The 13,313-nt window shown below is 36.3% G+C and overlaps 1 protein-coding gene across 18 annotated transcripts in view; it reads left to right on the top strand.

Moving 5' to 3' along the window:
* The window catches only part of SYT16 (synaptotagmin 16), a 300,664-nt gene that overhangs the window by 274,188 nt on the left and 13,163 nt on the right, over positions 1-13,313 (top strand). The gene's annotated exons all lie outside the window — the stretch shown is intronic.

Here is a 13,313-nt window from a genome sequence, read left to right on the forward strand (position 1 = left end):
CACGCCTGTAATCCCAGCTACTTGGGAGGCTGAGGCCAGAGAATCGCTTGAACCGAGGAGGTGGAGGTTGCAGTGAGCCAAGATTGCACCACTGCACTCCAGCCTGGGTGACAGAATGAGACTGTGTCTCAAAAAAACAAACAACAACAAACAAACAAACAAACAAAAAATTGTGTTATGAAACTGTTCAGAATCTCAGTTTCCTCATCTATAAAAAAGGAGTCAGTATAGTGTATACTTTATAAGTTTGCATTCCTGTAATACATGCAAAACTGTGATGTTGAGGATGGAACTATTATATCTTGATAAATATCTACATAAATATGCTAAAGATGAAATTCCTGTAACAAATATTTAAAACCAAATAGGAAAAAAAGGCAAGTCCTAATTTAGAAATGGATTTTATTCCAGAAGTTTAAGTCTATTTGGCATTTAGTACATGATTTGCCATAGGCATAGTGTTGCAATAAAACTTAAAATGTAACTGACATGTTGTATCTTTGCAACCCATGGAATAGAAAACAATGCTGCCGTGATGCTAGTAATTAAAACAGAAAGCCAATAGTGAAGACAAAAGTTTTTTGTCTCTGTAGAATGCTGGTACTTGAGGAAAAGCCAGTTTAATTAGGAAGGGATGAGAAAGTAGAAGGTTCCTTTGTGGAGCTTCTGAAATGGACCTCTTGGGATTTTCAAGGGCTTTGGATGTCGACGGCCTTGGTTTTTCATTATGTCTCGCTTCATTATGGCACTCACACTACTTTGACAGTTACATGGCAAGCTTGGGATACATTTTTAGTTCCCATATGGAAGAGAACAAGAGAGAGAAAGAATGAGGGGACACGAGTTTTATGAGGTAACTGAGAAGAGTTGGAAGGAAGAGGGGGAGAAGAAGAGAGGACAGGAGCCAGGAGAGGAATGGAGCTGTGAGTGGGGAAAGGCGGAGGCCGCATGCCAAGTGCACCGCTCCCCACGGCAGAGGGAGAGCCGGCGGCAGCCTGGGGCCTGCTGCAGAGTCCACCACAGGGTCGCCGCCGGCCAGGGGAACTTGTACCACTGAGGGCCATGACAGCTTGTGGTTGAGGCTCTCGGCTCAGGTGCAGTTACCTCTTCCGTGACCTCAATCATGCCCGACGGGGCGGTCATGATCACATAAAGAATGGTTCTTAGGGAAGTGTGAAGGAAAATAGGTTGAGCCTGAGTGTTAGGAACTTTTCTTCTCTTGAATATTGTTAAGGTTTTACATGTTGCTGGAAAGAGAGACAGCGGCTAGGATTTAGAAGTGAGAATCTTTTTGCCTCAAAATATATCATAAAACAAAAGGCAACTTTGAATTCACCAACCTGACCCGGTTAGATAATCGGATATTTTTTAAACTTTTCCTCCTAAGTAAGACAGAGGAACTGAACAAACAGTAGATGAAGTTCTTCTCCTCTGTTGGGGTTTAGAAGAAATAAGCCACTGAGATAGAAACCCCCTCCCCTTCTGAGGTAAAATCCTTGGGCGAGAGGGCTCCTTTCTCTGATGGGCTGGAGGTAGTGGGGCCAATAATAGAAATGTGAGTCTCTGCCGGCTCCAACCAGAGCCTCCACTGCACAGCCCCCAGCATGGCTAAAATGAAAAATTTGCACCAAGTATTGGTGAGGATGTGGAGAATACATTCTTGGTGTGAGTGTAAAATGGAACAACCACTTTGGGAAAAGGCGTAGAAGCTTTTTTTTATATAAAACTAAACATGCACTGAGAATCTAGCAGTTACGTTCTTGGGCAGTAACCGGTAAGTCAAAAAAGAAAAAAAGACCCATGCAAGAATGTTTATAGCAGCTTTATTCATAACGACAAAAACTAGACAGTCCTCACGCCCATCTAGAGAAGAGTGAATAAGCAAATTAAGATATATAATTGAATACTATTCAGCAATAAAAAGTAATAAAATTAAATGTAGGCATTCAACAGCATGGAGGAATCTCACAAACTTACTGAGTTACCTACTGCTTGATTCCATTGGTAAGAAATTCTGCAGTAAGCAAAACTACTCTATAGTGGAGAAAAAAAGCAAAGGAGTGGTGGTGTCAGGAATGGTATTGGTGCTAGGATGTACTTGGTAGGGACATGAGGAAATGTTCTGGGATGATGGGAATATTCTGTATTTTGTTATTCTTTAAAATTTTTTATCTATATATTGATAGGGATGTGAGTTAAATGGATGTATGCATTTGTCAGAAGTTGGTGAATGGCACTGAGCTTTGTACATTTCACTTTAGGTAAATTTTACCTTAAAAAAGTACTGTAAAATATTAAACTCTAGCTAATGAAATGCATGCTGAAATTTTTAGCATTGAAGAGCAACAATGGCTACAATTAAAATGGATTAATGGATGAATAGAGGCACAGATATGTGAGAAAAAATAAAACAATCGAAAACTTAAGGTGGTGGGTATAGGGACCTCCACTGTACTATTATTTCAAATATTCTATATATTTTAAATTTTAGGTATAATATACTGGGGAATACAATCTAGTGTGGTATGAAGTAGATAAGCTGGGTCAAGTTGGTAAAAATAAAATGAGTCTTAGCCATGCATAGGGACTTCTGTGGTTGGCAATACTTTTTTTTTTTTTTAATTAGAGTGATTGAGATGTCACTCTATTTCCCTAGATAAACCTTGGATCAGAAAGATGGGGTACTGGCTGGGCTTGGTGGCTCATGCCTGTAATCCCAGCACTTTGGGGGGCCCAGGTGGGCAGATCACCTGAGGTCAGGAGTTTGAGACCAGCCTGGTCAAAATGGTGAAACCCCATGCCTACTAAAAATACAAAAAATTAGCCAGGCATGGTGGCAGGTGCCTGTAATCCCAGCTACTTAGGAGGCTGAGGCAGGAGAATTGCTGGAACCTGGGAGGTTGAGGTTGCAGTGTGCCAAGATCGCACTACTGCACTCCAGCCTGGGCCACAGAGTGAGATTCCATCTCAAAAAAAAAAAAAATGGGGTACTGAACATCTGAACCTGAGGGTATCTTTTCTAGTGTCCTCCATAAAGCACATCCATCACAAGGGAAAGTATTTGGCTGGGCATTTCTTCTTTTCGAACTTCATTTCTATGTATCTATCTGTCTATCAATCATCTTTTGGTGAAAATGCCCATGTTATAAAGTGTTGTGATTTTTTAAAAAAAATCATGTATGTGGGCTAAGAAGATAAAATAGGCTATTTGAAAATTACTGTAACTAGCCTATAGAACCTATTTATAAACATAAATAAGTACGGTAGCAGCATGAACTTATCTTAGTGCAAATCAAGTAACAACATGCCAAATGTCACACCAGCCATTTTCAAGGTGATGTCTCATTTACTACACGTGGTCAGTGTTCAAAACTATTGTTGCTATTAAGATGGTATAGGGTAGTCTACAAATCTTCTGATGGCAAATGATAACCTCCAGGTCTGTCCCTGGCTAATGGTCCAGATGAAAAAGCAGTGTATAGTGTCTAGCAGACATCTGAAATCCTGATGTGCATTTACAAATGCTTTTGGAAAAGTTAGCAGTAAGAGTTAGAAACATTTGATCATCTTTTGAATTTGGCTTCACGGGAAAGCAATTCAGTAACAACTTTGCAGCTCTATTCTGTTCTTATCCTAGCCCTGCTATCCAACTGCTTCATGGCCTCAACATTTGATTTAACCTCTCTGAATTACATTTTCCTTATTAAATGAGGTTAACAAGCTAGTGTTACAGATATACTGCTATGTTTCAAAAAAGTTAGGTATTGTGTTGACAGGTTCTCTTTCTCCATCTTCAGCTTTGCTATGTCTCCTTCTACAGTGTATTACTGCATTGTGTTTATATGTGTATATGTACAGATATAATGGTCATTGTCAAAAACTATCATTAAGATGTTCCCTCCAGTTAAAAACAAGTTCCCCAGCTTCTCAGCATGTGCATGATTAGCCACACATGATAATTACACCCCAAATGATAATACTTAACAGCAGCAGCATATTAACCTTGTTAGGCACTCACAATAGCAGAGACTAAAGGAAAGAAAAACAAGCAAATCAAGCTCCCTCATGTTTTGTGTGAAGAACAAGTGGGATTCAGAAAATGTGCTCTACAGAGTGCAGGGAAAAAAAGACTCAGTGAAAATGAACATATATGAGACATATGACCTTCTTTTAGAATCCTGGTCCAGTTTTTGTTAAATATAGTGTATTAAGAGCCACTGTCTGCTCAGAGTCATGGCCATTTCATATGAAAATTTAGATGAGGCACTAACTTATTGAGTGCATAGGTGATATTCCTTTTTCTACATCAACTCTAATTCTCATGATGATATCAAAGTTAAAAAATATTAAAAGCAATAGAAAAGAAAAGATAGTTACTATGGTGTATTAGTCTGTTTTTATGCTGCTGATAAAGACGTACCCAAGACTGAGTAATTTATAAAGTAAAAGAGGTTTAGTGGACTCACAGTTCCACGTGGCTAGGGAGGCCTCACAATCATGAAGGAAGGCAAAAGGCATGTCTTACATGGTGGCATACAAGAGAGAACTTGTGCAGGGAACCTCCTCTTTATAAAACCATCAGATCTCATGAGATTTATTCACTATCATGAGAACAGCACGGAAAGACCCACCCCCATGATTCAGTTACCTCCCACCGGGTCCCTCCCACAACATGTGGGAAGTATGGGAGCCACAATTCAAGATGAGATTTGGCTGGGGACACAGTCAAATCATATCACATGGTATGTCAATTATATTGCAATAAAGATGTTAAAAAACCCAGTTACCTATAGAGGAATCACAGTAAGACTGAGGACAGACTTTTTAACAACATTAATGGAAACCAGAGGACAATGGGAAAAGAATATCAAAGTATTGGGAGAAAAATACTCAGCTTAGCATTTTGTTCCCTGAGTGAAGGAAAAATAAAGATATTTTCCACAAAGTTTGACAGAGTTTTTCATTAGGAAAAAGCAACTAAATGATGCAATTCAGAAAGAAAGCAATTGAAATTAGAAGGAAGTAATGGGAAGCAAGAAGGAAGAATGAACAAATAAATTGGTTAACATGTAAGTAAATATAGGCCTGCATGGATTGCCTAAAGCAAAAACAGGAGCGGTAGGAAAAATGACTACTATTGCGGGTACTACCACAAAATGGTAATAAAATTCTAGGCAGAAATTACATAAATATGGGAATGGGATAGTGACTCCAAATGATTTTTGACAAGGCTGCCGAGACCATTCAAAGGGAAAAGGATAGTCTATTCAACCAATGGTGCTAGAAAAAGTGGATCTCAACCTGCAAAAGCATGAAGGTTGGATCCTTACCTAACACCATATATAAAAATGAACTCAAAATGGATGAAAGACCTAAATATAACACCTAAAACTATAAAACTCTTTGAAGAAAACATAGGGCAAAAACTTTATGACCTTGGATTTGGCAGTGATTTCTTGGATATGACAACAAATGCATAGGCAACAAAATTAAAAATAGACAACTGGACTTCATGTAAGTTCAAAAATTTTGTGCATCAAAAGATAATAGAGTAAACAGACCACCCATAGAATGGGAGAAAATATTTGCAAATTATATATCTGATAACAAACTAATATCCAGAATATATAGAGAACTCCTAAAACTCAACAACAAAACAGTGTGAGTTTAAAACTGGATTAAAGACTTGAGTAGACATTCCTCCAAAGTTGATATATAAATGGCCAATAGAAATATGAAAAAATGCTCAAAATCAATCATCAGGAAAATGCAAATCAAAACTACAGTGAGATACCACCTCATACCCATTAGGATGGCTACTATAACACACACACACACACACACACACACACACACACACACACACACACACACACACTAACAAGTGTTAATGAGAATGTGGAGAAATTGGAGCCCTTGTCCATTACTGGTAGGAATGTAAAATGGTACAGCTCCTATGGAAAACAGTATGACAGTTCCTGAAAAGATGAAAAATAGAATCACCATATAACTCAGCAAATCCATTTGTGGGTATGTACTCCAAGGAATTGAAAGCAGGGTCTTGAGAAATTTGTACACCCATGTTCATAGCAACATTATTCACTATAGCTAAAATGTGGAAGCAGCCTAAGTGTCCATTGAGGGATTAATGTATGAGCAAAATGTGGTATATACATATAAGGAATACTATTCAACCTTAAAAAGGAAAAAAATTCTGACATATGCTGCAGTATGGATGAACCTTGAGGACATTATGTTAAATGAAATAAGCCAGTCACAAAAAGACAAACACTGTATGATTCCACTTATAAGAGGTATTTAGAGTAGAAAAAAAAATCATAAAAGCCAGTAGAATGGTGGTTGCCAGGGGGTGAAGGAGAGGGAAATGGGGAGTTATCATTTAATGGATATGGAGTTTCAGTTTTTACAAGATGAAAAGAGTTTTGGAGATGGATGGTGGTGATTTTGTACAACATTATGAATCTAATACCACTGAAATGTACACTTAAATATGTTAAAATGGTAAATTTTGTTGTGTATATTTTAACACAATTTTTTAAAATTGAAAAAAATACACTGGAGAGAGATCAGAGGATATTGCAAAACCAGGTTATGAGTAAGAAATATGACAGCTGGATGTTTAGACTGATGTTGCTTCAAGGAAAAGAAATACTAGTATTAAAATGAAGAGATTAGCAGGCTGTATGTATGTGGGAGCAGGGAGTTTATGGGAAATCTCTGTACCTTCTGCTCAATTTTGTTAAGAAACTAAAACAGTTCTAAAAAATTAAGTCTATTTAAAAAATTAAGAGATTTAAAAATAGAAGAGAGTAGAGATTTTGATTAATTTTAGACATTAAACCAAGTGAACATATTAAAATTTTAATCTTTTAAACCAATAGAGGGAATAAATGAGAATAAAGCAAATGTAACCAATTCAATAGAAAGCAGAGAAAATACTTTTTAAAGTGTAGAAAAATGTGTGATAAATAGAAAGCACAAACCAAACAGTAAATATAAATCAAAATATATCAGTAGTCATAATAAATATAAAGGGACAAAAATTGCTATGTAAAAGATAGATATTAGATTAAGGTCTCTCTCTTTTTCCCAGTCCCTGCCTGCCCCTCTTCCTCACACTGCCTCATACTATAAACACACTACAGTTTATACTGGGTCCACCTAGCTTTATAATATATAAGGAAGGAAGCCATTAATGACCAATGAATTGGGCTTAGCTCAGGAATGCAAGAATGATTTAATATTAGCAAAATCTGCTAGTGTAATTTACCATATTAACTGGCTTACGAGAAAGCCTTATGATAATCTCAGTAGATGCAAATAGAAGCTTTTGATTAAAAAATAAAATTTTTGAAAAAATTACGATTATCTCAATAGATGCAAAAAGTTGCTTTTGGCAAAATGCACTCTTCATTACTGACAAAAATCTTAGCAGATGTGTAATAGAAGATGTATTAATATAGACTAGGCTGTGATGTAATGATTAAACCCTGCTGACTCAGGGGCTTCACACAGCAAAAGCTTATTTCTCCTTTGCATTACAGTCCAAAGTAGTTATGTGACTGTTCTCTAAGCTGTAACTCAGACATACAGGCACTCCCCGTTTACTGAGGTGATGATATTCAAAATGTGACCTCCATTGTTGGCATGGAAAGGGAAGAGACAGCATGGGAGATTTATTGCTTGGGTGGGAGTGGTTGAATATAACCATGATTGAAGGTGACATTTATCACTTCTCATATTCCATTTTTCAGAACTCAGTCACATGGCTCAGATAATTCAATTCTGGTGTAAAGACCACACTGTTAATTTGATATTTGACCTGAATTAAATGTCACATTATTCACCTGAGAAAGTTTACTGGGCCTTTGTGGCTCAAAGCCTTTTAAAATCTCTTTCTTCAGAGATCCGGAATCAATCAACTCTTCCAGCCAGGGCTGAATTTCTGTATTTTCTCTTTTTTCTTGCATACTGGTCAGTTCTTTCCCAAGCTTAACTTTTCCCCTCTTCCCCCTAAATGCAGCCAGTAGTACTGAATACATACTTCTAACATTCCATTTTTCAATTTCTTTTTTTAGAGCAACAAACTCATTAGGCACATGTTCTTTATTCTAAGTTATAGCAGGTGGAAGTGTTACCATCTCATAATATGGATTATGGATCTTCGCTGTTATATCCTCTGATATTAGTTTATTCATTACCTGATACCCAACTTCTAGACCAATCCCCAATCTTATTTTATTTTATTTTTATGATAGCAACGTTCCAGTTCAGGTTAGTAATTACTGTATCAGTCACATATTTTCAGGAAAATAGCAAATATTCTAGGTATGTTTGATCAGAAGTTATTATGGGATTTAAACATTGGAAGACAAGGTAGTAAAGATCAGGAAGACTGTTTTCAGGAAGTTCAGGAGTATAAGGCATTACAGGAGAGATGTCAATAGGCTCTGAACTGTTTGCACACAGGACAGGCGATTTTTTTATAGGGATCTTTGATCAATATGGGCAAAATTTTTCCATTCTCATCTAATGATCACTATGGGCAAAAATTTTCCATTGTCATCTTCTAATGCCTACTCATGCCTGCAACCGGTTCTAGAGTACTGGGGCTCTCTCTCCTTCCACTTTCCTGTCTCTTGCCATAGCTTTCTTTAGTGGAACCTTACTGATAAGAGACTAGGGGAATGTCATTTTAAGGGTTTATATCTTTCACCCAGGAAAGATCTTAGAATGGTGGATATCGTAGTAAATATCAATAACTAATAATGTGGCACAGAAAGAAACTTGCTCAACTTGACAGTGGATATTTTAAGGAAATCTATACCAATTCTTAATCCTCAAATCCCTTTATAGTCAAGAGCAAAATAAGGATTCCCACCAGTAGTTTTGTTTAATATTAGACTGGAAACTTGAGGCAGTTAAGTATAATAAGAAAAATAAATAAACATTTAAAGATTGAAAGGAAGAAATGAAGCTGCCATTCATTATTTGTAGAAAATCTTATTATCAACATTAAAGATAAATGAAAATCTATAAAGTAATATTTCTTATATAAAATCAGTTGTGTTATAATACATCAGCAACAATCAGAAAGTGGAGCTTTAAAATGTTACTATTTATAATAGGAACAAAATATCTACGATACCAAAAAATAATAAAAGATGAATATGAAAATTATAGAAAAACAACAGAACTTTATGAAAGACACAAACAGAAACTATATACACACACACACAAACACACACATATCTATATATACTATGTTCATTAGCAAGAATATTCCATATTGTAAAAACAACAGTTTTTTTTCCACATTATATGTCCAGTACAATACCAAGTAGAATCCCAAGTGTTTCTTAGTATTTTTGTTTTAGTTTGTTTTTTTATCTTGTTTTGTTTTTTACAGAGCTTGGCAAACTCATTCTAAAATTCATATGCAAGAGCCAATTAAACCAAGCAAGAGAGTAGAATAACTAAAATAGCTTTTAAAAAGATGGTAGAGGGATTATCCCTAGCAGATATCAAGACATGTTATAAAATGATTATAATAAATATTGTCAGACTTAGGGAAAGACACTGAAGCTTGGAAACTTGATATTTGACAGACATGGTATTAGAAATTAGTGGGGAGATAATGGATTATTTAATGAATAATCCTTCCCATATACAAAATTTAGATCCCTACCTCACACCACATGCAAAGCTCAATTACAGCTGTATTAAAGATCAAGTGTGAAAAACAAGATCTTAAGATTCAGAAGATAATATGGGAGACTATTGAGTTTGGGTAGGGTTTCTTTTAAAAAGCATCAACTTAAAAGAAGACACCAATAAACCTGACTCCACAAAAATTTAAAACATTTGTACTGCAACTGACTATAAATGAAGCTGAAAGGCAGGTAGAAGGTAGTAGCAATTAATACAACTGGCAAAGATTTTGTGTCTAGAATTTGTAAAGAGCACAGTCATTCACTTCTAGGTATATCCTAGAGAAATTTTTGAATATTGATATAATGCAAAATAGAGAAAAACGTTCACTGAAATCTTTTTAATTTTTGGTAATTATAAGCAATTAAATGTTCATTAACAGAATGAAAAAATGAATTATAATTTATTAATACATTGGAACATTACACACAGAAGATAAAATAAATGAATCACATACATGTATACATAGAGATAATATAAAAAATTAATGGTAAATTAAGTTTTAGAAGGACATACACTACAATGTTAAATTTTCTAATGTGCAAAATTCTATTAAATATATTTTGGACACCTCTATTTACATATTGAAAGTTTAAATACATCTATGGAAATGATAAACTGGAAATGATAAACTCCAAATCCAACATAGTAATTACCTTTGTTGAGAAAAGAAGTTGGACAGGATCCCAAAGAGGGAGACTAAAGGATCTTCAGTTGCAATGTTTTATTTCTTAAAAATCAATAAAAAGGCAGAAACATTAGTAGCACATGTGACAAATTCTAAATATCCTGTCAGTTTGTGTGATTTTTTTATTTTCATATATGTTTAAAATTGTTTATACATATTAATAAATTAAAAGGGAAAGTTAAATGGCCAAATTCCTTTCCCTTACCCTGTATCCCAGAGATTCATAGTTCCTCTGACCCCTAGGCCAAGGCTCAGCTCAGCAATTCGTAGAAAATTATGCTGTAAATGGGTAGGTATTTTGTGGGGGCTGTTTAACTACGGGGTACCATGTTGTTTCTTTGGAAAAATGCCTTCTGAGTTCCAAATGACATACTTTTGTGCCATAATAATTTGGAGATTATGTACTATTATAAATATTTTAGTACAAGTGGCGTCTTCCTTTAGCAAGAAAAAGGGAAGTGACTAGTAAAACAGTTGACAGGGCTGTCAAGGGATTATGACCCATTCAGTGTTTTGCTAATGGTTCTGAGTTACTAAAGATACTATAAAGCTTTCTGAATCACCACCAGAAAAGAAAATATTGCTCAGCATTGTTTTGTAGCCACTATTACCAGTTTCCAAAGATTAAAACACAGCTTATTTAAATGGCATATTTACTTAGCTAGAGTCTTTCTCCATTCAGTCTGACTGGTGTTCATCAGAGTAAGTCACGGAACCCCAAAAGACCCTGGTCATGCTCCCCAACTATTCCACAGAAGCAGAATTTCCTGGGCACAGCCTCTGCTCTGAAAGTTAAGAAGTAGGTGCATTATTACTGTTAATAGATGTTTCCGTTTTGAACTAGAACAATGAACATTTTCCTTCCTTTTGTCTGGTGTCTTCAGACTGGATTGCTTTTAAGATTATTATTATTTCTCTGCGTTATACACATACAATCCAACTTCAGTGATAGTAATTTGGTAGTAAGTGGCCTTTCTCATAATTAGAAAATACTCTTATGGCAGGATAAAGCTTGAAATTGCTCTCTTTGTGAAATGAGCATGCTTTTGTTTGCAAGATTAACTCAATTCCCACTGCTATACCTGGCAGCACAATTGCCCAATCAGTTTGGTGACTGGACTGAACTTTTTCTACAGGAATCATGTAGCTATGCAGCTTCAGAAACACAAATCCACTCCCTCATTGTTGGTTTTCTGACAGCTTTTTCTGTAGAACAGTTTGAAGAGAAGAGAGCCCTGTTTCTGAGACAGAGAAGTGTTTTCACACCTGAAGTGTAATTTCACACCTTGTGTTTCTCAGCAGATAAGTGCATAAAATAACACATCAAACTGAAATAGAAAAAGATCAACATAGAAAGAAAACTGCAGGTTGTAATTTGTTTCCTATCTTACAATGCTTTTGGAGAGAACAGTAAATTACAGAGATCTGCGTTTACGCTTTAAAAAGTTTGACTGGTCGTTAGGTGGGAAAATGAGCAGTAAACACTAATCAGCTTGCTGCCTGCATTGAACAGAATGTACAGAATGATTGAATTTGGGAAACACCCTAACATTTTGAGTTTTAAGGAGAATAATGTGTGCATGTTAGTAGTAAAAGTTGCAGATAAAGGTCAAGACATTTATAAATTGATTTTAATAAAAATGTGATTGAGGAGATAATTATTTTATGATGGTTCCATTCAGGAATTTTAGCAAAAGGAGATCATGTTAGTAAAATTTGAGTGCTTTCTTTCCTTTCTATATTGACGCTAGTCACTGTTTTCTGGCACTCTAGTGGAGGGGTTCTACGATGAGGAGGTTTAGCTTTATTGCACAAGTTTGAAAACTTGAGACTGAAAGAAAAAGTTGAGCTTCCTGACTAGACATGAACATTCATTACAAAATATTTATTGAAGGTCTAGCACATGGTAGTCACGAGCTAAGCATCAGGGGTTCAATGGTTAATAAGGAAATCCCTCTCTTTACCACTGGAAAACTGCATCTTTGCAGACAAATAGGCAGCGATAATACTGGTGATAAGTGCTGAGACAGGCTAAAACTAGGTTTTAGTGGAGACTATAAGAGGGTTATCTGAACTGGTGGGAGTGAGAGAAAAAGGTCAGAAAGGTCAGCAAATATTCCCAGATAAAGTGATATCCAGATTGAACTTAATGAACAAAAGTCATATGAGGCTGAGTATTAGTGGGGATGTCAGAGCATGGGGAACATGTACAGATGAGACAGGGAAAAAGAACAAATTGGGTTGGAGGAGGGGAGGAAGTTCAATGTAGTAGAATGCAGTGTATAATGGCAGCAGTGGTAAGCAATGAGACTAGAAGATAGGGCCAAAGAAGACAGTCTACACCAAGAAATTGAGCTCTCATCTTGAGACTAGTGGGAAGTATTGAAGACTTTGTTTGTGTTTATTAGTGAGAGTGACATGGCCAGATTTGTATTTCACAGAGATTGCTCTGGCAGTCCCCTGACTAGAAGGTCAGTGAGGAAACGTGAGGTAATAAAGGTGAGAAATGCTGGCACCCTGAGCTTGCAGTGTACACAGAGTTCAGAGGCACTGGGGATGGAAAGAAGTGGGTAGATTTGGGAGCTGTTTGAGAGTTAGAATCAACAGAATGTGGCAACTGATTGGGTGGACTGGGAATGAGGAAGTCAGTCTTGTGAAAAATGAGGTCCTGATTTCTGACTTGGATAATTTGGTGAATGATGCTGCTATTCACAGGGATAGGGAACACTGGAACAGCAAATGTTTAGAGTTGGGGGCATATTGAATGTAAGATTAGTGTAAGATTTCAAGAGAAGAAGTGTAGTATTCAGCTGGATCTCGAGTTTGGGAGAGAAGTTGAGGCCAGACCTGTGGACTTGGTAGATGTCATTGAAACTATGGGAGTGGATGAGAT

This window comes from Homo sapiens, chromosome 14, assembly GCF_000001405.40.
Source record: "Homo sapiens chromosome 14, GRCh38.p14 Primary Assembly".
Classification (NCBI taxonomy): Eukaryota; Metazoa; Chordata; class Mammalia; order Primates; family Hominidae; genus Homo; species Homo sapiens.